The 23,833-nt window shown below is 40.3% G+C and overlaps 1 long non-coding RNA gene across 1 annotated transcript; it reads right to left on the bottom strand.

Annotated features, from left to right (window-relative positions):
* Positions 1 to 3,322: 3,322 nt before the first annotated feature.
* LOC105371649 (uncharacterized) lies at positions 3,323 to 23,829 on the bottom strand. The gene is made up of 3 exons (XR_922357.4): positions 23,470 to 23,829; positions 20,904 to 20,979; positions 3,323 to 3,411 (listed from the first exon to the last, which is right to left on the bottom strand). It is a non-coding gene; the product is annotated as an uncharacterized LOC105371649 (long non-coding RNA).

Here is a 23,833-nt window from a genome sequence, read left to right as displayed (position 1 = left end):
TAGTCACAAGAAGATTAAATATATATACATAGGCAAGAAATCCTGGAAGAATATTTGCTGGAATGGTAGGAGTTGCTTGGGATGGTGAGATTGTAAACAGTTATGATTGTCATCTGTTTCTCCTCCCTGCCCTCATGTTACACAATGAAGATGTATTACTATCAAAATCAGAAGAACATGTTCTTGGGCAGGGCGCAGTGGCTCACGCCTGTAATCCCAGCACTTTGGGAGGCCGAGGCAGGCAGATCACGAGGTCGGGAGTTCAAGACCAGCCTGGCCAACATGGTGAAACCCCATCTCTATTAAAAATAACAAAAATTAGCCGGGCATGGTGGTGTATGTCTGTAATCCCAGCTACTTGGGAGGCTGAGGCAGGAGAATTGCTTGAACCCAGGAAGCAGAGGTTGCAGTGAGCCAAGACTGTGCCACTGCACTCCAGCCTAGTGACAGAGCGAGACTCTGTCTCAAAAAAAAAAAAAAAAGAAGAACATGTTCTTAAAAATATTTTTAATTTGCATTTAAATTTGGTAAAAGGGTCCTCTGTGTTCTCAGAATCCCATAGGCTAAGGGATTCTCTGGGTGCACTTACTCTGATCCTTAGGCTCTTCAGCAGTGATATATAACTGGGAGTGACATATAAATGGAAAGGAAGACATCACCAGAAATTTTTGCCAAGTTAAAATTGGCTCCCTAAAATAACCATTTGATGAGTACTGTTCTGAAGGACTCTGCTACTCTCTGAAGTTCTGACCTTGACTCAGATCTTCACCAGATTTCCTATGGTAATGCCCTGGCTGTGGTTTTTTTTTTTTTTTTTTTTTGGCAGAGCGGGGCAGGTGGGGGTGACTTTTTTCCCACCATGGTAACCTGGGCACCTGGGCATGGTGAGATGTGACAGACTGCCCAGTTGGAAGTTAGCAACGCACAGGTTATATATACTTTCAGCTGTGTATTACTGAGGAATCCCCCAAGAGGCCTAACATGAAAGGCTACTTAATTTAAGCCCATTTCTACTTGCCTGATATGCCTTAAGAAATTACAAATACAAAAGAGACCATACTTATTAAAGCCCAACATGACATGCTGTGAAAAACACAACATATGGTTATTTGAAGTCTGAAAAGCCTACTGAGTTTTAAATTTTTCATTAGAATATCCTTTGATGTATAAAGGTGTCCTTTTTGATTTTTTTTCACAATAGTGGTTTCTAGATCAAAACCACATATAGAAACTTTCTCTTGGTAGGGAAAAATTACCTGAGATAAAATTGCTAGACTCTCTTAAAGAGTTGAGATTAAACACATGAGCACAAAGCATTTTAAACACATCATGAACAAGACAACCTCAAGATTACCCTTTAAAGTTTAGTAAACCCATAGAAATTGGAGAGACACTTCTTTAAATATTTTTTCTTCGTAGTTATATATTACAGTTATCATGGAAGTAGCTACTTTGTTCCACTTAATTAAAACTGATGACCCATCCGGGCCTGGTGGCTCATACCTGTAGTTCCAACATCTTGGGAGGCCAACAGGCAGATTGCTTGAGCCCAGGAGTTAGAGACCAGCCTGGGCAGCATGGTGAAACCCCATCTGTACAAAAAATACAAAGATTAGCCAGGCATGGTGGCACACACCTGTAGTCCTCACTACATGAGAGGTTGAGGCAGGAGGATCACCTGGAGATCGAGGCTGCAGTGAGCTGTGATCTCACCACTGCACTCCAGCCTGGGCAACAAAGCGAGATCCTGTCACAAACAAACAAACACACACACACACACACACACACAAACAACCAAAAAACCTGATGACTTTTTATAAGTTATACACAACTACTATCAAGAAATATATATTTTAAAAAGGAGAGGCTGGGTGCGGTGGCTTACGCCTGCAATCCCAGCACTTTGGGAGGCTGAGGCGGGCGGATCACTCGAGGTCAGAAGTTGGAGACCAGCCTGGCTAACATGGTGAAAACTCAACTCTACTAAAAAAAAAAAAAAAAAAAAAAGGCAAAAATTAGCTAGGCTTGGTGGCACATGTCTGTAGTCCCAGCTACTTGGGAGGCTGAGGCAGGATAATCACTTGAACCCAGGAAGAGGAGGTTGTGGTAAGCTGAGATCACGCCACTGCACTCCAGCCTGGGTGACATAGTGAGACTCCATCTCAAAAAATAAAAATTAAAATAAAAAAATTTTTTGAAAAAAATTTGTTTGACTTGGCAATGTTGTAGTTAAATCCTTGAGAATAGGGATTATGCACTAAATTTTATTTCCCGCTATCAAAACCAGTGTTAAGATGTGAATGATGAAGGTCTTGTGAAGTATGTAAAGTTTGCTTTCTCCTTTTCTATTACCTGCTTGGTCCTTTAACTCTCAACCCTAGGACTTCAGCTAGTGTTTCCCAGTTCTTTTCTCTGTTATATTTTAGATGGACCAATAAGACGTTAGCTATCAAGGGCTAATCTTCCTGTCTCAGTTAATGCTATTTTGGATGCAAGTAACCAAACTTTACTTACACTAGCTTAGGCAAAAAAAAAGAAAGTTCATTTTATGGTTATAAAAGTATCTCATGAAGACTGAAGAACCCCAAATCCATCTGGCATAATTCCCACATCTTTCACTGTGTCTGAGGCTGTCTCATCTCCTATTTGTTTCTCTCCACATATCTCTCCATTCTCACCTGACTGCAGTGTAGCTTTCTCTACTTTTCTGTGCATAGCCCCTGAGTTTATTTATCCTTATTTCTAGGAACTAGGAAAGACTAACTATAATTTCTGAATCTCAATTCAAAATTCCTGAGAGAGAGATTCTCTGAAATCTAATTTGGGTCAGTATCTACATCTGGTCCAAATCAGCTGTAGTCAGGGGATTAGGCGACATAGTATATATCTGGCCCAGCATTTCCCAAAGTTATTTGAACACAGAACTTTATCCACCCCCATCCCTGGCTCTGATGGTTGTGGTCAGGGGCGTGTTATAGGGCACACCCATTCATATCCTTCAAAACAGAATTTCTCAAAATGTCATTTTGGGATCTTCTGATCTAATTTACCACTTTAATATTACAAATGACTAAACTTAGACCAAAAGAGGCAGAATAATTTGCTTAAATTACCAAGATAGTGGCAGAGTAGAGATTTTGATTTTGAGCTGAGGAACTTGACATTTTATGCCTTCAGTTGAACCTGGATATCAAGAAGAAGGATAATGGCTACCCGGTCCCCAAAAAAGTCCAAAATCAAGATGTCAGCAGGGCCGTGCACCTTCTGAATGCTTTAGTGGCAAATCCTTCCTTATCTCTTCCAGATTCTGGTGGCTGTAGGCTTTCCTTGTATGTAGCTGCATAAATCCAATCTCTGCCTTAGTCTTCATGTGGCCTAGTCTTCTATGTCTGTCTTCTCCTCTTTCATTTCCTTTAAAAAAAAATTTGTCATTATCTTTCAGCCTCACCTAGATAATCCAGGATTATCTCATCTTGAGAGCTTTAACTTAATTACTCTGCAAAGAGCTTTTATCAAGGTAAGATCACATTTATAGGCTACAGGGATGAGGTCATGGGCATAACTTTTGGGGGCAATTATTCAAACCACTGCAAAAGCCTTATGAGGTATCATAAGGTACTTGAAAGGAATTTGTTTTTTTTTTTTTTTTTGAGATGGAGTCTCACTCTGTCACCCAGGCTGGAGTGCAGTGGCGCGATCTCGGCTCACTGTGGCTCACTGCAAGCTCCGCCTCCCAGGTTCACGCCATTCTCCTGCCTCAGCCCCCCTAGTAGCTGGGACTACAGGTGCCCGCCACCACGCCTGGCGAAATTTTTTTGTATTTTTTTAGTAGAGACGGGGTTTTCACCGTATTAGCCAGGATGGTCTCAATCTCCTGACCTCGGGATCCACCCGCCTTGGCCTCCCAAAGTGCTGGGATTACAGGCATGAGCCACCACGCCCAGCCTTATAAGGATTAAGAGTGGTAAGAGGGAGTGGATGGAAGAATAATGGGTTGGAATTTTTCTTCTTAAAAATAAAGGATGCAGGATTGATAAAATGTAGTAGCATCCAAGAAAATGCAGTATCTTAGTTTCCAAGAAATTTACATTCCTATCTATTCCTTGCTCATCGATTCCAATGATTCCATTGATCACTTGATTCATTCATCTAACATTTTCTAACAAATATGTATTGAATTAACTAAAGAAAAGTAATCAGGGGGCAAAACTTGGAAAGATTAATATTGTCAACAAAAAGAGTCAAACTCTGTAACATATTTGAAGAGATTTATTCTGAGCCAAATATGAGTGACCATGGCCCATGACACAGCCCTCAGGAGGTCTTGAGAACATGTGCCCAAGGTGGCTGGGGTGCAGCTTGGTTTTATACATTTTAGGGAGGCATGAGACATCAATCAAATACATTTAAGAAATACATTGGTTTGGTCCACAAAGGCGGGACAACTCAAAGTAGGGGGTGGGAGGGCTTCCAGAATAGGAAAATTTAAACATTTTCTGGTTGACAATTGGTTGAGTTTGTCTATAAGACCTGAGATCAAACAGAAAGGAATATCTGGGTTAAGATAAGAGGTTGTGGAGACCAAAGTTTTATCATGCAGATGAAGCTTTTAGCTAGCAGGCTTCAGAGAGAATAGGTTTCAAAATGTTTCCTATCAGACTTAAAGTCTGTGTTGAGTTAATGCTGGAGAGGTATAATGAGGCATGTTTGAACCCCACTTTCCATCATGGCCTGAAACAGACTCTCAGGTTAAATTTTAAGAGTCCTGGCTGTCCATTCAGATGGTTGGGATGCCTTAGAATTTTATTTTTTGTTTACAATATCAAGCATAAAACTAAAGTTTGAGAGATAAACGCATAGGTTAATAATGTCCTAGTGGGGTCAAGTCTCCTGCAGAGGTAATAACTTTGTAGGAGGTGAGGGAATTAGCAAGTGAATATCTTAGGTAAGAACATGCTAGGCAGAGGGAAAAGCTAGAATAAAGTCCCGAAGGCAGGACTGACCTTGGCACGTTCAAGGCACAGAAAGGAGGCCACGTGGTTAGAGTGTCTAAGAGGGTGACACAGGACAGAGGTCATAGAGATAACAGAGTAGAAGGAAGTTGATTATGAAAAAATGAAAATGTTGGCTTTCATTTCACTTGTGCACTAATCTTAGAATGAACAAAGAGCTGAATCAAGTTCTCAAAGTTATCTACTGCTACATACCCAACCACCCCAAAATGTAACAGTGCAAAATAACAACTTTTTCATTTCTCACAATTGTGGGTCAACCATGTGACTGCAACCAGCTGGCAGCTTAACAGGTTGGAGGGTCTCAGGTGGCCTCACTCACAGGTCTAGGATGTTGGTGCTATTTTTCAGCGGGACCATTCTTTCCATGTAGTTGCCCACCATCCAGTAGAATAGCTTAGGCTTCCTTGACCATAGCAGGAACATTCGGAGAGCCCAAAAGGGAAAACTGCAAGGGATCTTGAGGCCAGAGCTCTGGACTTATACATTGTCATTTTCATCACATTCTATCAGCCAAAGCGAATCACAAGACCAGGCCAGATTCACAGGGTGACCAAGAGACTCCAGATTTTTTTTGGTTTTTTTTGAGACATAGTATCTCTCTGTTGCCCCGGCTGGAGTGCAGTGGTGAGATCTCAGCTCATTGCAACCTCCACCTCCTGGGTTCAAGAGATTCTCTTGCCTCAGCCTCCTGAGTAGCTGGGATTACAGGCGTGCACCACCATGCTCAGCTAATTTTTGTATTTTTGGTAGAGACGGGTTTTCACTGTGTTGCCCAGGCTGGTCTCAGACTCCTGACTTCGAGTGATCCGCCTGCCTCGGCCTCACAAATTGTTGGGATTACAGGCATGAGCCACCGTGCCTGGCCAAGACTCCAACTTTTGATGAAGTCCATGTTTTTCAGCCTATCACACAAATGTGCTGCTGTTTTGTTTGCCAAAACCTTTCCTGACAAAATTTTTGGAAGTATGATGAGATAATTCACGTCATTTGAATTTTGCTATGCTATCATAAAAATCATTTTTTAAAGGGCTTCATCAATTTTCCCATGGTGCTTCTCAATCCTTTGATATTTAAATCACTCTCTTTGAGAGAATCTGTTATGTCCTAGACACTGGTGTTGAATTGAAAGTAATGTTTGAGGGCAGACTAACTTTTTAGAGGTCAGTTCCTTACTGAATATTTTCATCTTATCATGACTCTTGCCTTCTTCCACAAACTTGTATCTGCAGAATTTTGGAAAATGAATATTCCAATTAAAAAAAAAAACCTAATGACAAATGAGGATGTGTCAAATAAGAGAGAAGAGGCATTATTCTGTTCGCCCTGGGGAGGAGTAGATTTGAGCTGGTGAAGACGGAAGAGGCTGATAGTTGTTGATAGATCCTTACATATTACCTTGTACTTTTTAAATGGATTTAAACAGAAAGACATATGGCAAGGATGAGATATTTTAATTACACTAGAGGAAAAAATCTTAGAAGTTGAAATAACAAAGAGCCAAATTTTTTCCCAGTATGAGAGGAAGGGCTTTCTGATAGTTGGAATTGTCCAGAAATTGAAAGGATCATCATGCAAAGCAGCAGGACATCCATCATTAGAAATTGTTCAGCCCAAGGCTGACGACCCTGGGATACACTACCAGTGATCCTGCATTGACTTGGTGTGTGTGGGAACTTCAGGTAGAAAGGCTGTTGGTTTAAAACTCACATCTGTAATCCCAGGACTTTGGAAGGCAGAAGTGGGAAGATAGCTTTAGACCAGGAGTTCAAGACCAGCCTAGGCAACAAAGCAAGACCTCATCTCTACAAAAAAAAAAAAAAAAAATGAAAAAACAAATTAGCCAGGCATGGTGGCATGCTCCTGTAGTCTCAGCTACTCGGGAGGCTGAAGTGGGAGGATCGCTTGAGTCCATGAGGCTAAGGTTGCAGTGGGCTGTGATCTTGCCACTGCACTACAGCCTGGGTGACAGAGTGCAACCCTGTCTCAAAAACAAAGCAAAACCCACAATAAACAAAAACAACAAACAAAAACAAACAAACAAAAAAACCTCTATAACCTTTGTTCTTAGAATAGGTCAAAAGCTGGGAAAAGAGATCACCTGTTCATTCTATTTAACTTTTTTAAGTCAGCACTGTCCAAGAGAAATGAGTCACAATGTAATATAAAATTTTCCAGTAGCCACATTAAAAAAAGTGAAAAGAAACAGGTAAAATTAGTGTTTATCATATATTTTATTTAACTCAATACATCTAACATAGTATCATTTAAACATGTAATCCACGTTAAAAATCATTATTTTACATTATTTTTTCATAACAAGTCTTTAAAATCCAGTACCTTGAAGAAAATCCAAAAGTCTATTTACACTTTTGTAAATTTACACTCTTGTGAGAGAGAGGGGCATCTGAAAAGGAAAAGCTGTCCTGCTGTAGACTGCAGCAGATTTTATAGGCAGGCTTGAGGAGGCGGTGTCTGATTTATGTAGGGCCCACAGATTGGTTCCACCAGGTGTGACGTTTACACAGGGCCGCAGGGAAGGCTGGTTGCCCCACCCTAATCTTATTATGCAAATGAACTTTTCACTTGGCCAGGCCGTCTCGTTTGCTCCTTATTGTACACGTGGCTGGCACAGAGAAGGGAAGATGGAGCTGCCATTTTGAACATGCCTAGTCCCAGATAGCCTTTTCCTATTGGCACAGCTGCCAGCATTCACCTGTGCAAGCGTCCAGCTTGCTTGTCTATCTATGTCTACAGCTCCATTTTACAGGCTGCTCTTTGTTAGAAAAGAAAATGATTTGGGGGCTGCTTTTCATTAAAAGGAAACCTTACTGAGGACTTCCTTACCCTCACTATCTGCCTAAATAATTTCTTTTTAACTCCTATATCAATACCATTAATAAAATCACTAATAACAGGCTGGGTGCAGTGGCTCATGCCTGTAATCCCAGTACTTTGGGAGGCTGAGGCGGGAGGATCACTTGAGCCCAGGAGTTCAAAACCAGCCTGGCCAACATGGTGAAACTCCGTCTCTACTAAAAATACACAAATTAGCCAGGCTTGGTGGTGCATGCCTCTAATCCTAGCTACTTAGGTGGCTGAGACACAGGAATTGCTTGAACCCGGGAGGTGGAGGTTGCAGTGAGCTGAGATCGTGCCACTGCATTCCAGCCTGGGCAACAGAGCAAGACTCTGTTTCAAAAAAACAAAACAAAACAAAACAAAACAAAAAACAAAAACAAGGAAAAAAAGAAAAAGAAAGAAAAAAACCTTCACAAACGCACAAAAAACAGTTTGTTAAATCCAGGTTCCCTAGCATCCTGGAGGAATGGAAGTGATGGAAAAACACTTCTGTTTAACTGTTATTACATTCTTACTTCCTTGGGCAACATCTCTCATAATTTCCCTGCTTTCTCACCAAAACCCAATATTAAGTAAATTACATAATTTTGCAAACCACTAAATTTTCTTATCAACTTCTAACAGGTTCCACCTCTCCAAAAGTGGAACTGTGAAAAACAGCCCTCTAGTACTTTTATGCTAATCCTGTTACATTTAATTCTTCTTTTATTCCAGGAGCTACTGCAATTACTGATATTATAGCTTTCATTGTTTACTAGCTGTGTCTCTCATCACCACAGGATTTAAGTACTCTCCAGGGAAGCTGCCTTGCACCATTTCCAGTAACATATTATCTCTACACATCTTCTACAGAGGAGAAAGGATAAGGAAAGTCATAAAGATAAACTGGGCTGCCTTTGCAACTGTAAAATTTCCCCAAGGCTCAGTCAAAATAATGAGGTTTTTAAATACCGCTCCAAAGATATCCCACTATTTCTTTACTATTAATACTTTAGTATTAAGAGATTCAATAGACAGACTATATATATAATAAGCAAAATTAAAATGAGACTGATTTTCCACAGTTCACCCTTTGTAGAAATCTATACACATATCAAAATTTCATATTTGCACCATTACTGTAATGATGGCTATAATACACCAAAGCAAGGGTTTGGCACAGACTGCCAAGTGTCTCCCAATATTTGTTATCTGCTTCTCCTTTCTAGTTATAGAATCCCTGAGTTTAAGCTGGGCAAATAGCTACCCACTTAGAGAATAAAACTCTCAACCTTCCTTGCGCTAGATGTGACCAATTGATTCAGTACTTTCCAATAAGATAGGAGCAAAGAGGTGTTCAATTTCCAGGTCACATCCTCCTTAAAGGAACTTGCTTGCCTTCCTCTTTCTCTTTCCACTTTCAGGCAGGCTGGAAGGTTTATGTGATACTGGTGAACCAATGTCTACCATGGAGATGTCTATTGGGGATAGAACAGCAACTTGCGTTCCTAGATTACTGTGAAGGAAAATTGCCTTTCACGTCTGAATCATGCACATGCTTCTGAATACTGTCTGGGAGAAAAATATCTTCTATCTTGTATAAACCATTGTTTGTGGGGGTCTTTTTCTTCCCATACCTTGGCTTGTATCATAACTAAGAGCATCATCATCATTATCATTTGTACTATTATCCTCAAAACCTCTGTTTATTAACTATCTCTCCAGCTATCTATCATCTATCTATCTATCTATCTATCTATCTATCTATCTATCTAATCAGAGACCATCTCGTTAAAAGACTTAGGTGCTTTTTTTTCTCCCTTAAAAGGCTCCTTTGACTACTTGTTTCTTTGGGGGGCATTGTGAGTATTAAATAATATAATAAAGTATTTATAAAATCTTCTTTTTAAACTTAAAAGCATCACAAATAAAAAGGCATTATATTATTCTTGAGCTAACAATCCAAGATCATAGTGGGTTAATAATATTTATGCAAACATTAGCCAGCCAATGTGGCCCACCTCCGAGGTAACATAATCCAGGGGACAAGCGCTTCTTCTAGGATGATTGGTCTTTTAGGCACTGTAATATAGCAGTAGGAGGGATAGTAAAGTATAAGGAAATAGATATATTTTCAATTACTCCATGGAAGTGGCTGCTTATATTACCTGTGAATAAAGTTGGATGTAAGTATTTGAGAGGTTCAGTTCGCCAATTTACACAACTTCATAAAATGACCTAATAAAGTGAAACTGTCTAATTTCATGTGTATTTCATTTATTAATGTAAAGGCAAACCTAATTAAACCTGCCATGAGCATATCATTTTATTGATTTCACCTTTTAACTTCACTCTTCTCAAATGATATAAAGGACATACTTTTTTAGTCCATTAAACATGAACTGAGTGCCTGTTGCATACAGAACCTACCCTGAGGAATGTGCAAGTAAGATAGAGAACTCTGTCCTTATCTTGTTTGACCTCACTGTAGCATAGGACACTATTGGCTACTTTCTCCTTGAAAATATCTCTCCTTTGACTTCTGCGACTCTTTTCCCTGTTTTGCTTCCAAACTTTGTGGTCTTGTTTATCACTCTTCTTCCACTTCTTAAATGTTAGAGATCCCCAGTGTTTCTCCCTGAAACGTGTCTTTTCACACTTATTCTGAGCCTTTTTTCTGGAGACATGAACCTCCTGGAGAATGTGATAAAATTCAGGAATCTTCTGGAGGGAGGGCATGTTCCATCTAATTTTAGGGTTACATGGACATCCTGAAGCAACTGGTAGACCTCCTAAGGGTTCTTACCCCTCAGGTTAAGAATCACTTTTCCATAACTTTAACTACTACCAATGGTGCTTGATGGCTCTCAAATCTTTTATATTTAAAAGCCGACATCTCTCTCATGACCTCCAGACCCACTTATCGAACTGCTTATTTTATTCCTTCACTAGAATGTCAAACAGGCACCTCAAACTCATCATGTTCCAACTAAAGTTATCTATCCCCCCTTCCCAATAGTCCCTTATCCTGTGGTTTCCATTTCGGTGAGTGGCACCACCATTTAACCAATTGCCAAATTATAGCAGCCATCTCCAAGATTTAGACACCTTTTGATTTTGCGGAAGGCATTTTTTTTTCCACGGATGGGGCAGGGGAAGGGTATGATGGTTTCAGAATGAAACTATTCCAACTCAGATCACCAGGCATTAGAATCTCATAAGGAGTGTGCAGCGTAGATCCCTCACATGTGCAGTTTCACAATAGAATTTTTGCTCTTTTGAGAATCTAATTCTGCTGCTGATCTGACAGGAGGTGGAGCTCAGGCGGTAATAGCTAGCTCACCCTCTGCTCACCTCCTGCTGTGCGACCCAGTTCCTAACAGGCCACTGATGGGTACCAGTACCAGCCGGGGGTTAGAGACGCCTGTATAGACAAATAAAGGCAGCAACCCAGACTTCTACTTCTGCACAAATGTTTGTTGAATTACTAAATTAATGGAAGAAGGTAAAGGCAGATCTAATGTGATGAAGACAATAGAGAACATCTGTTGAGAACAATGTAAGGGAGCTTATTTTCAAATGTACACACAGTTGTGTGAGACATCGGGCTGGGCGAGGGTGGCTCATGCCTGTTAATCCCAGCACTTTGGGAAGCCAAGGCAGGCAGATCGCTTGAGGCCAGGAGTTCAAGACCAGCCTGGCCAACATGGTGAAACCCGTCTCTACTAAAAATACAAAAATTAGGCGGGCATGGTGGTGGGGGCCTGTAGTCTCAGCTACTTGGGAGGCTGAGCCAGGAGAATCACTTGAACCCAGAGGTGGAGGTTGCAGTGAGCTGAGGTCACGCCACTGCACTCCAGCCTGGGTGACAGCAAGACTCCGTCTCAAAAAAAAAAAAAAAAAAAGCCTGTTTGTCAGAAAGCAGTAGTAAGAGGATTTCAAGTGGGAGAAATTACTTAAAAAGTTCAATTCATCTTACCTCATGACCAAGAAAGCTAAATTATTAATAGCTTCTCTAGCATCTTGCTCCTTGCTATGGTATCTTCAGAGATTGCATCCTGGTTTATACACAGTAGCGATTACAATGGACACTCAAAAAGGTGCGACACTCTTGAGGGTTTTAGGTCACTAAATTTGGCAGCTTTGCCTCCCTGAACTCCCTTAGCTCTGAATTTACATTTCTCTGCTGACACTTATTTTCTGATTCATTTTATGATGACTTATAGATATCCCGTCTCTCCTATCAGAGAGGTGTTTTTTTGTTTTTTTGTTTTTCCCACAGACTGTACATACTCAATTTTGTGCCTTGTATCCGAGAGGTGAACAGTAAGTTATTCATTATTGAGTTAATGAATATTTGTTTTCTTTTTTTTTTTTTTTGAGATGGAGTCTCACTCTGTTGCCCAGGCTAGAGTGCAGTGGCGCCATGTCAGCTCACTGCAACTTCTGCCTCCTAGGTTCAAACAATTACTCCTGCCTCAGCCCCCCAAGTACCTGTGACTACAGGCACCTGCCACCAGGCCCAGCTAATTTTTGTACATTTAGGAGAGACAGGTTTTGCCACATTGGCCAGGCTGGTTTCGAACTCCTGACCTCTAGTGATCTGCCTGCCTCAGCCTCCCAAAGTGTTGGGATTACAGGCATGAGCCACTGCACTCAGCTGATCTTTCTTAATATTAAAAAAACTCTTTGCATCCACTGAGATACAGAAAAAGAAAAAAATAGAAGAAATAAAATTGAAAAATTAAAAGAAAAAATAATATTAATTAAAAAAATTTTAAACTCATTTGAAGGTAATGTAAATGTCCTGTAAGGTCAAATGTTGTTACAGGGGGTATAAAGTTTGTAATGTTTTCCAATGCAAGTGTGGCACACTGAATATTTAAATACATTACAGATTTTGTTTAGGCAACAAGGTGGTAGGGAGCATGCTAATCCATCTTAGAAAGTTATTTGTGAGGCAGGGCATTGGCTGGTCGAATGCTGTGTCTGTGGCCGGACTGCAGGAGTTTTAAACTTGGCTGTACGACTTAATGACTGAGAGCCTAAGGGCCTCTTGCTGCCTCACCTTCTTCATCTGGGAAATGCAAATCATTCTAGAATTTACCCCAGAGAATTGTTAGAAAATGAAAATAAAGAGTATACACATAAAGCACCCAGAATGCTGTTAGGACTAATTAGACACTAGCTGCCATTTTCTTAACACCTTAATAAGAAGAAGGTGATGGGCAGGTGATACTCATTTATTAGATTAAGAAATAATGGGCTGGGCACGGAGGCTCACGCCTGTAATCCCAGCACTTTGGGAGTCCAAGGCGGGTGGATCACCTGAGGTTAGGAGTTCAAGACCAGCCTGGCCAACATGGCAAAACCCTGTCTCAACTAACAATACAAAAATTAGCCAGGCATGGTGGTGGGGGCCTGTAATACCAGCTACTCGGGAGGCTGAGGCAGGAGAATTGCTTGAACCTGCAGGATGCAGTGAGCTGAGATTGCACCACTGCATTCCAGCCTGGGCAACAGAGTGAAACTACGTCTCAAAAAAAAAAAAAAAAAAAGGAAAGAATGAAACTTTCTTCTTTTGAAAATGCAATAAAGACAACTATCCTATCTTCCCAGCTCAAAACATTCCCATGACCCCCTCCTTGTCCATGACACCACAGATGCCCTGTGGGTATTATCAAAATGTGGGTAAGTGTTAAATATATTTTATTATAAATAGTGGTATGTCTTCTAACATGCTACTAATCTACACGCTGAATTTTTTTTTTTTTTTTTTTTTGAGACAGAGTCTCGCTCTGTTGCCAGGCTGGTGTGCAGTGGCATGATCTCGGCTCACCGCAACCTCTGTCTCCCAGGCTCACTGATCCTCCTGCCTCAGCCTCCCGAGCAGCTGGGATTACAGGCATGTGCCACCAGGCCCAGCTAATTTTTTTTGTATTTTTAGTAGAGATGGGGGTTTCGCCATGTGGGCCAGACTGGTCTTGAACTCCTGACCTTAGGTGATCCGCCTGCCTTGGCCTCCCAAAGTTCTGGGATTACAGGCATGAGCCACCATGCCTGGACCAGAATTAACTTTAATCAGAGAATTCCAGATTGTCTAGTTGGCCGTGCTGACCTCTTCAGATGTTCTTATTCTGCCATTATTGCCAATCACTGTGACAGCCTATCACTGGCAAGACCTCAGGCAATGTTAGAGGTGGCAAAACATTAGTGGCTGCAGCTTAACCTTCTGCAGAAGCTTCAAAGAATAGTAACCGTCAGAGAGGGGCGGCATGGAAAACAATGGAGCAGTAGTCTCTGACTGGCATAAATACAGTATAGATAACCAGTCATGGGCTGATGCAGACAGAAGGCTGCTTTTGCCTACACAATAGCACTTCTTGGTTCTGAAGTTCTGCTCATGGCTGGGTCACAGGGCAGCATGTCTCTGCCATGGTGAACCCTCAGCTGAGAAAAGGCCAGTATTTCCCAACCCATACATAGCCATGGACAGCTGTCTTTATAATTTCAGGAAAAGGTCATGGCAGTGATAAGGGATTTTGGATTTGCCTGGAAAAGGAATGCTCTTTGAGTAAACTTTCAGTGCAAACAAGAGAAGTGCTTTTCAGCTAGTTCCCACAATTGACTAATAAATCTAATTCTATAACACAAGTGTGACTTTTATATTATACCTAAACATGGTAAAATTTGGGTGCAAAACTATTTTCCCCTCTAGTGTTCTAGGGTAAGTATAAATGTAAACAGACACCAAATTTAGTCAATATGAATGTTCTTGGGCAAACATGGTTGGTTGAAAACATAGCTTAATTTCAATATTGCTCTTAATTTTCCTCCTATAATCTTCATTAAGTTTTAGGATAGTCTGTCCAATTTTTTGGTGATTCATCATTATACCTTCCTTTATAATAGAGTAGACTTGTATTTCCTGTAATCAGGACTTGCTTTGCCTAGATTGTGCCACCTAATTATACTGTGTGTTTTTTTTTCTCCCTTATATTCAAAATGGTGTGATGGAGCAAGAAGAGGCCAGGACAGGAACACTACTGTGTCTTGTTCATATGTCTGATAGAGTCTGACATAGTTGGGGGATGAAGGTCCTTGGATTTTGGAGGCAATGTAGTATAATTTGGGTGATCATATTATTTATTGTTTATATTGGGACAGTTTTGAAAATGAAAGGGGGCACTAATCAGGATAATGATATGATTTGGCTGTGTCCCCACCCAAATTTCATCTTGAATTGTAACTCTCGCAACTCCCATGTCGTGGGAGGGACCCAGTGGGAGGTACTTGAATCATGGGGGTGAGTCTTTCTCATACTGTTCTTGCAATAGTGAATAAGTCTCACGAGACCTGATAGTTTTAAAGAGAGGAGTTCTCCTGCACAAGCTCTCTTTCTCTCTTTGCCTGTCACCATCCATGTAAGATGTGACTTGCTCCTCCTTTCCTTCTGCCATTACTGTGAGGCCTCCCCAGCCATGTGGAACTGTAAGTCCATTAAACCTCTTTTTCTTCCCAGTGTTGGGTATGTCTTTATCAGCAGTGTGAAAATGGACTAATACAGATACCATGAAAATGATTTAAATCTGGTCACAAGCAAACCAGAATTTATGGTCATCTTAGTATGGTAGAAATAGTCTGGACTTATATCCAAATTTTACTACCATTTCCCTGCTTTTGACTTGTGACATAACCTCTCTGTGAACTTCATTTACTTACTTTTTTTTTTTTTTTTGAGATAGGGTCTCGCTCTGTCACCCAGGCTGAAGTGCAGTGGTATGATCATAGTTTACTGCAACTTTGAACTCCTGGGCTCAAGCAATCCTCCTGCCTCGACCTCTCAACGTGCTAGATTATAGAAGTAAGCCATTGTGCCTGGCCTGACCTTTATTTTCTACATCTGTAAAACAAGGATATAATTCTCACATGGAGGAGGGGAGAAAGTGCCTCATATGTTCTTTGTAGATATTATTATCAGTATGATGTCTGCCAATATACCCCAAAATTATTCCATATAGACAGTATATCTTGTATGGCTTAGGTTAAATTACAATCAAGGTGCAGTCAGTTGCACTAATCATAAATTCATATTCTAAGATGGCAGGTAGTGGTCTCATCAGGCAGACCCCTATAGAGGTGGGTACTACATCTGTCACTCTTATCTCTTTAATAGCAAAAATCATTCTATAACATATGTCAAAAGTGAATTTTCATTGTCAAAATTAGTGGTTTGTCAGTCATCACAACAGATATGACAAACAGACTCTCATATAATTAGTGATTTCCAAGATACAAGGACTGGCTAAAATATTTTAGAGACACTCTCATTCTTGCATGAACAAGTTACAAAAAGCCAGATGATTAGGGATGGTGTGTGAGTTGAAGGGCTTCCGGTTGCCAGATGCTTATTGTAAGGGTGATGGAATTCTAGCTCTGGAATATTATTCATCTGCTTCCAGTGAATCTTTCATGCAAGGTCATGATTGCAGAACCTAAAAAGACAGAGAACTGGGACCTCATCAAACTCACAGAACAGGTGTATCACCTTGTTTCTGTTTGCTAACACATATTTGTTTAATAAATGTCTGTATGTGTGACAGAAATCAGCCTGATACTTGATTTAATTTTTAACTTGGTTTAATTGTTATGAAATTGTTGGGAAATAATTTTCACCCCAACTCCTATAATTTGACTACTACGTCTGTCTATCTACTAAAAACAAGCCAGTAGTTTTGCATGATTAAACTGTAATAGTTATTTTACTCTTTTAAACCACTAATCTGATTCTACATCTGGAACCTCTGCTCACTTCTCTTGGCCATATGAACTGAGAAAAACAAAACCAAACCTGAATCTTAGAGAAACAGACTTCCATAAAATGGTAACTAGCAGATCTAAATGTAGAACCCAAGTCAGCTGATTCAAAGTTCAATGTTCAGGAATAGGCACAAAGCAAATGTGTGTGTGTTTATGTGTGTGTGTGCACGCACACGCATATGCATGCAGAATGAATTGGAGTAGGAAGGAAGAGGAAGTGATGTGAAGTGATGCAGAGAAAAACCAGGAGAAAACATTAAACATTAGAGTGGGGGCCTTGGGAACCCAGAGATTGCGCTAAAATTGGGTGCAAGTCTCCCAAAAAGGGCTAGGAAGGCTCTGAAGATTATATTTGCTTAAGAGCTACTTCTGTAAATAATAATGTCTATTAATCTCTAGCAATGGATGAAAAATAGTACATTTTGTGCACAATGAAACTATACTTGCCTCATCATCTAGTGCCAAGAAAAATATGGTGATCTTCAAGAAAGCCGTGTATCTAACACCACTCTCTCAAAGTTTTAAGTATAATCATGTATTTGAAGGTTGTATACTGATTTTAAAGTATCACAAAGAGATTGATCTGCAAATAAACCAAGAACTCTTTATTCTACTTCTCATCCATCACAAACCTTTACTACCCCCACTTATTACCTAAAAGCCCTACCTGTAAAAAATCAAGCAAAAAACAATCCCAACCAAAAAAACTCCAAACTTATCAATACATTTGGAGAAGAAACAGAAATAAGCACTGTTTTCATAGAACTTTAAGCTGGAGGCCAGGAAATATTTAATTTCAAATATTTAAGGACTGTCAGCATTTACCTCTGAGGTTAAGAAATGCTGGGGATTGACAAATTTGGACCACTCTGAGGATTACAAGAACAGGAAGAAAGGGTGAAAAGACAGTACTACAAGTATGTGTATACAAATACATACATGTGCAATATATGTATATTGTATATGTGTATATATTTATATATACTCATATACAAAACATATATGTATATGTATGCAAAGGGAGCTCCTAGGAAGAACACAGGGTTTGGATAACAATTCTAGGAAGAATGTCGGATTTGGATAATGAGAAATGATAGGATCATTACAGAAATAACTTATTTTTAATTCTTAAGTGTCCTAATGTTGGGGATTACTCTACCTAATGCTTTTTGACAAGATCAACTGGGCACCTTTCACTTTGATCCTTAATTTCATAATTAGATAACCAGTAAAACTATCTTTCTAAATCCCTTGGAGGTTGGAGGTAAGATGAGCTTTTACAAAAACAAAGTAAAACTGAAGAAAGTCACACAAACAAAAAAGCTGCAAAGATTTTCTGACAACTTTATTCCAGAACGTTTATAACTTCAAATGTCTTACAAATGAAGCCATTATTAATTTTAAGAGGACAGAAAAGTACCTTGTGTTTTTGTGCGTATTTACTCTAATACAGGGATGAGGCGCTATAGCTCATACAAACTGTGCCTGAATTCAACAGTCTCTGGAGTTGCTGGCCTAAAGAGGGCTACATTTTTGGATGGGGAGCCTGCAATGGCAGCACGAAGTAAGCAAGCAAAGGAAGTAGACAAGATTCAGGGCTGGGGCCAGGCATGGTGGCTCATACCTGTAATCCTAGCACTTTGGGAGGCGGAAGTGGGAGGATCGCTTGAGTCCAGGATCTCAAGACCAACCTGGGCAACATGGTGAGACCCTGTCTCTCTTTCTCTCTGTTTTTAAAAAAATAATAATTAAAAAAGAAAAAAAGATTCAGGGCTGAAAATAAAACCAGAGCCATGGGTGCTGTTGGAGCAGCTGCACTCACCCTTGAATCCTACTCTCAACAATGGCGATGTTTTCTCTTTACCTCATAATCATGATATGGATACCTACTATTTATTGAGTTCCTTCAAACTGTACTAAATATTTTACACACACCATCTCATTATCTTCACAACATCCCTAAAAGGAAGGCATAACAATTAAACCATTTAATCTTTCTAAAAATGCTGTGAGGTAGGTATTATTCTTATTCTCATTTTACAAATGAGGAAACAAAAGCACAGAGATTTAGTCATTTGCTTAAGGAAGCCCAGCCAATAATCAGCAGAGCTGTCTCAGAGCCATTGTTCTTGGCCTGAATGGTACCTGTGCAACTGTTGTTGAATGGTGCTCACCTAAATCCTGTGGCCACACTGTACCAATAAGTGGGAACTATGCTGATGGTGAAATGGGGATTTAAGAGAGGGAACAAACACAAAATGTACTCCCTCGAAGAGCCATGTGACTTGGTTTTGCTTCTGATACTTGAAGTAAATGGAAAATGGCCACTAAATAAGTGACCCAACCAAATAATCATGACACATGAGCAAACTTTCTTGCCTGAGAGAGTTGGAGCTAGTGCCAGTGAGAGAAATGGGATAATAATCTGAAGGTGAAGTGATTTTGAAGATCTCAAATCAAGATGGAGAGGTGGAAAAAGCCCTGGGGACATCTTTTGGGGAGGTGAATCATCTGAATCTCTCATTCTCTTTCTTAGAATTTGAAAAAATCAGTCCGACAGCCACGCAGGAAGTCAGTTGACGACATTCACCGAGTATCTTTGTCATGAGGTGCTCTTTCTAAGGCCTCAAAGTCACTAATTGTGAATGCAGAATAATTACTGTCTTTATTTAATGTTTGCAAGATTGGGTTCTCTAGAAGAAAACTGTTGTCAATTCTGCATGCTATCAAAGAATAGGAAAAGCAATTTGAAGAATGACAAAATCACCACTCCCAAATTCCATACTAGTTTCAGGAGTAATTAGAACTGTAGTACTAAAGAATTCAAATCATTTAGGGGCAACTGCTGTTCTATGACCAGTTTTGCACAGCTGGTCCCAGCTTCCTAGGACTATTTCTGAGCCATAATATTAAAATGGAGCCCCTCCCTGTGTTTTTGAATCCATATGGTTCTACCCAGGGCTCCTATCCCTCCCTAACTTCTGACACATCCAAGCAGGAAAGTGAGCATGCATATTTACATAAGCTACAAGGCTGTGCAAACAGATTGTTAACTGGTTAAAGGGCATTTTAGAAATGGCTGTTATTTCTTACCATTTTTAATGGGTTTTATACATAAAAAATCTTTATATCTTTAAAAGTTCTATCCTTATTCTTCTGATGTGCTTTCCACCAGTCTTTTTCCCTCTGTACAACACTAGACTCTCTCAATTAACTCGTACATCCTTTTTATCACTAAGTGTATAGGTTTTAAAATAACGTAAGTGAATTTTTCCTAGTGTTCATAAAGTGCCAATTAGCTGAGAATTTCCATTATTTTCATTACGGGGTTAAATACGTTTTGTTCTGTTTTGTTTTGTTTTTGTTTTTGTTTTTTTTTTGAGACAGGGTTTTGCTCTTGTCACCCAGACTAGAGTGCAATGACATGATCTTGGCTCACTGCAACCTCCGCCTCCTGGGTTCAAGCGATTCTCCTGCCTCAGCCTCCCAAGTAGCTGGGATTACAGAAGCCTGCCACCACACCCGGCTAATTTTTGTATTTTTAGTACAGACAGGGTTTCATGATGTTGGCCAGGCTAGTTTCGAACTCCTGACTTCAGGTGATCCGCCCACCTCGGCCTCCCAAAGTGCTGGGATTACAGGTGTGAGCCACTGCACCCAGCAAAAAAAAAAAGTGTTCTTTTTTGAAATGCATTTTGCGAATATATTTTTCTTTTATTTCCATGGGCTCCACCTTTGATAAGTTTTAGAGCTTTTAGGTCACACTAGATTTTCTACTTAAGGTTGCTGAGATCAGTGAAAAATAGACTCAATCATTGGCTAGAAATTGAGTTTCAACAAGGGAAAAAAAGATACTTATTATTTAGCAGTTCGAAAAAGAATTATGTTCTGGCTTCCCATTATAATCTTTAAATATGCAGCGTTAACTTGAAAACAAACAAATATGCTAGAAAATGTTAAACATTAAAAGCCAGTACTTCTTCTTTAGTATGTTCTTAATGATAGTTCATAGTCAATTTTGACTTCTTATAAAGGGTTGGAACATCAGGAAGGTAAAGAAAACTGTGTTATTGTTAATAATCCACTTCAAATTATTGACTTGACTATATTTCCATATAACTGAATGTCACTGTTTTTCTATTTTATTTGTTCTTAGTTTTCAAATACCATATGATTGGTGTTGACCTTTAGTTTGTAATGTTCTCTATGCAAGAGCCAAGACCAACTCACATGTATTGATTTAGCTAACTTCATTACCAAGGCTGCCAAAGAGGATCCAGGATGAAACCAATGTTGGATTGCAGATCTGTCCAAAGAAAGGATAATATTAAATATTGTACAGAAGTGACCTCATGTGTTTTCATAGCATCTATGTAAGTAGATAAAAGGACTATATTATTCCCACTTTTTAGATAAGGAAACTGAAGGAATACAAAAACAAGTATATTCAACATTTACTGAGCATCTACAGCAGGAGAGGCACAGTGCTAGGTGTTTCAGAATATCCTTATGCTATAATTTGAGTGTGTCCCTCAGAATATCTGTGTTGGAAATGTGGTCCCTGGTATGGTGATCTGGGGAGATGGGGCCTTTAAGAGGTGATTAAGAGGGATTAATGCTGCTCTCTCCGGTCTGGGTTACTTCTTGCTAGAGTGGGTTCTTATTCTCTCAGGACTGGATTAGTCACCGCCAGAATGGGTTGTTATGCAGAGAGGCTGCCCCTCGTGTTTCACCTCTTTCACACGTGCCTGCTTTTCCACCATGTCATGATGCAGCACGAGGCACTCGTCAGAAGCCAACCAGATGCCGGTGCCGGGTTTTTGGATTTCCCAGTCCAGAATCGTAAGAAATAAATTACTTTTCTTTATAAATTACCCACTTTCAGGTATTCCATTATAGCAACAGAGAACGGACTAAGACAACCTACAAATAAGCTAAAGTCAATACTTTTCATGTGGTTAAAATGTAGTGGGTATGCAGACTATGAAAAACACAATAACAAAGACACAGAATACCATGGAGGCACAGAGAGAGGATAACTTCTGCTAACTAGAAGGTTCTGGAAGGGTTTTGTGGAAATGGAATCTGAGCCCAGCCTTAACAGGTGTTGAGTGTTGTACAAAGATGATGGGGTAGCATAGGAGATGGTGTGAGCAAAGGCATGGAAAGGATACAGAATAGGAATTATTTAGTTATCACATAGGATTTGAGGGCAGGGCAGACTAGAAGGAAGAAAGAAGGTATTCAGAGGGTTTGCAGATGTTCTTGAATACCAATTCTGACAGCCATGTATAGAGGAGAGTAGGGCAGCAGGGAGATAATCGGTAACTTCAACATTAATGCTGCCAAAGAGGACTAGGATGGAACCAATGTAGGATTGGAGATCCATGCAAAAAAATAAAGGATATTAAATATTGTACAGAAATGACTTCATGTGTTTTCACAGCATCCACGTTAGTAGATAAAAGCAAGGATCCCCAAGCCTGGGGCAGTGGACTGGTACCAGTCAGTTGCCTCTCAGGAGCAGCAGGCGAGCAAGCATTACCACCTGAGCTCCACCTCCTGTCAGATCAACTGCGTCAGAGTCTCATAGGAGCATGAACCCTATTGTGCACTGCACATGCGAGGGATCTAGGTTGCACGCTCCTTATGAGAATCTAATACCTGAAGATCTGAGATGGAACGGTGTCTCCCCCACCCTGTGGAAAAATTGCCTTCCACAAAAGTGGTCCCTGGTGCCAAAAAAGTTGGGGACTACTGGATAAAAGGACCATATTATTCCCACTTTATAGATAAGAAAACTGCAGGAATAAGGAAGCAAGTATATTTAACATTTATTGAGACACTGCAATAGTTTAGGAGAGAGGTAATGGAAGCTTGAATGGAGCAAAAGTGGGAATAGAAAGAAAGGTAATAATCTGAAAGATAGAAGAGGTAAAATCTATATAATTTGGTAATTAATTGCACGTGGACCCCGAAGGCTAAAGATGAGTTGACAATGATTCCGATGCATTAATTTGAATCAGAAAACATCTTACGTTTGAGCTACCCTTGGGCTAGACATTAGGACATTTCTATTAGGGAGGTGGAAATGTGGGTCTAATGATCAGGACAGATATTGATTTAGAAATCAACCACAGAGATATGTTGGCTGAATCCTTATGAGAAGAAATCACCAAGGAATAATTAGAGTACAGAGAGAAAAAGGACAAAAAGAAAACCTTAAGGGAACACCTGTATTTTAATATAAAGTAGCGAGAGAATGAAGGAAAACGGGTCAGCCAGAGAAGAGGTAAGAGGTTAAGAGGTAAGAGGTAAGGTGATAAAAGTCAAGGAAGAAACGTTTCCAGAAAGACCGCCGAATACTGCTTAAAGGACACGTAAGTAATTTACTGTGGTCACAGAGATCACATCGAAGCTCCTAAACTCCGCACCTATTGAATGACCACACTAGAAAAACAATGTGGTTTTTCAAGAGGAACCGATGTGTCATTTTACCAATAGTTAACCTGGGACTCGGTCATCAAAATTCATTGCAAGTTCCAATCTCCTTCATTAAACCTTCTTTGCAGCCCACACAGCTCTCCTTACATTGAGCTTTTGAGGTAACTATTATTAATCATGTACGAGGACCCACGTGCTCCTTCATCCTTGTAGTACTGCGCGGTGGTTAAATGCAAGGGCTTCCGAATCAGAGGCTGGATGGATTCTAATACAGCAGTGTGACGAGCTCTTGTTAACCAACTTTTCTAAGCCTCTGTTTTCTCGTCTGCAAAAGGGGGATGGTGGTACTTACTCTATCAGAGTTGAGAAGAGTGCATGAGATGATTGCGAGTAAAAACCTTAGCGCAATGCCTTCAAAGGCTCAATTCATTTTGCTGTTACTGTGTTTTGGAATTTCCCTGAGGGTAGACGACTACTCCAACACTATTCCCTAACGCAGCAGCACTGACATGGGGACAGTGCGCCTCATTCAGCCAGCTCTCTGGGAAACAACTTTCTGAGGAAGAGAGATAAACAGCTGACGGGTTTCCCGGGACTCCGCAGCCCACCGAGACAGGGTTGACTGTAGGGCGCCGAGGAAAGGGGGAGGTGGGATCCCAGCAACCACTGGCGACCTCGGAGGACCGCAAGTCCCAGGGTGCAGCGCGCCTACCCCG

The sequence above is a fragment of the Homo sapiens genome, chromosome 1 (genome assembly GCF_000001405.40).
Source record: "Homo sapiens chromosome 1, GRCh38.p14 Primary Assembly".
NCBI classification, from domain to species: Eukaryota; Metazoa; Chordata; class Mammalia; order Primates; family Hominidae; genus Homo; species Homo sapiens.
This window is presented reverse-complemented; position numbering and strand designations above follow the sequence as displayed.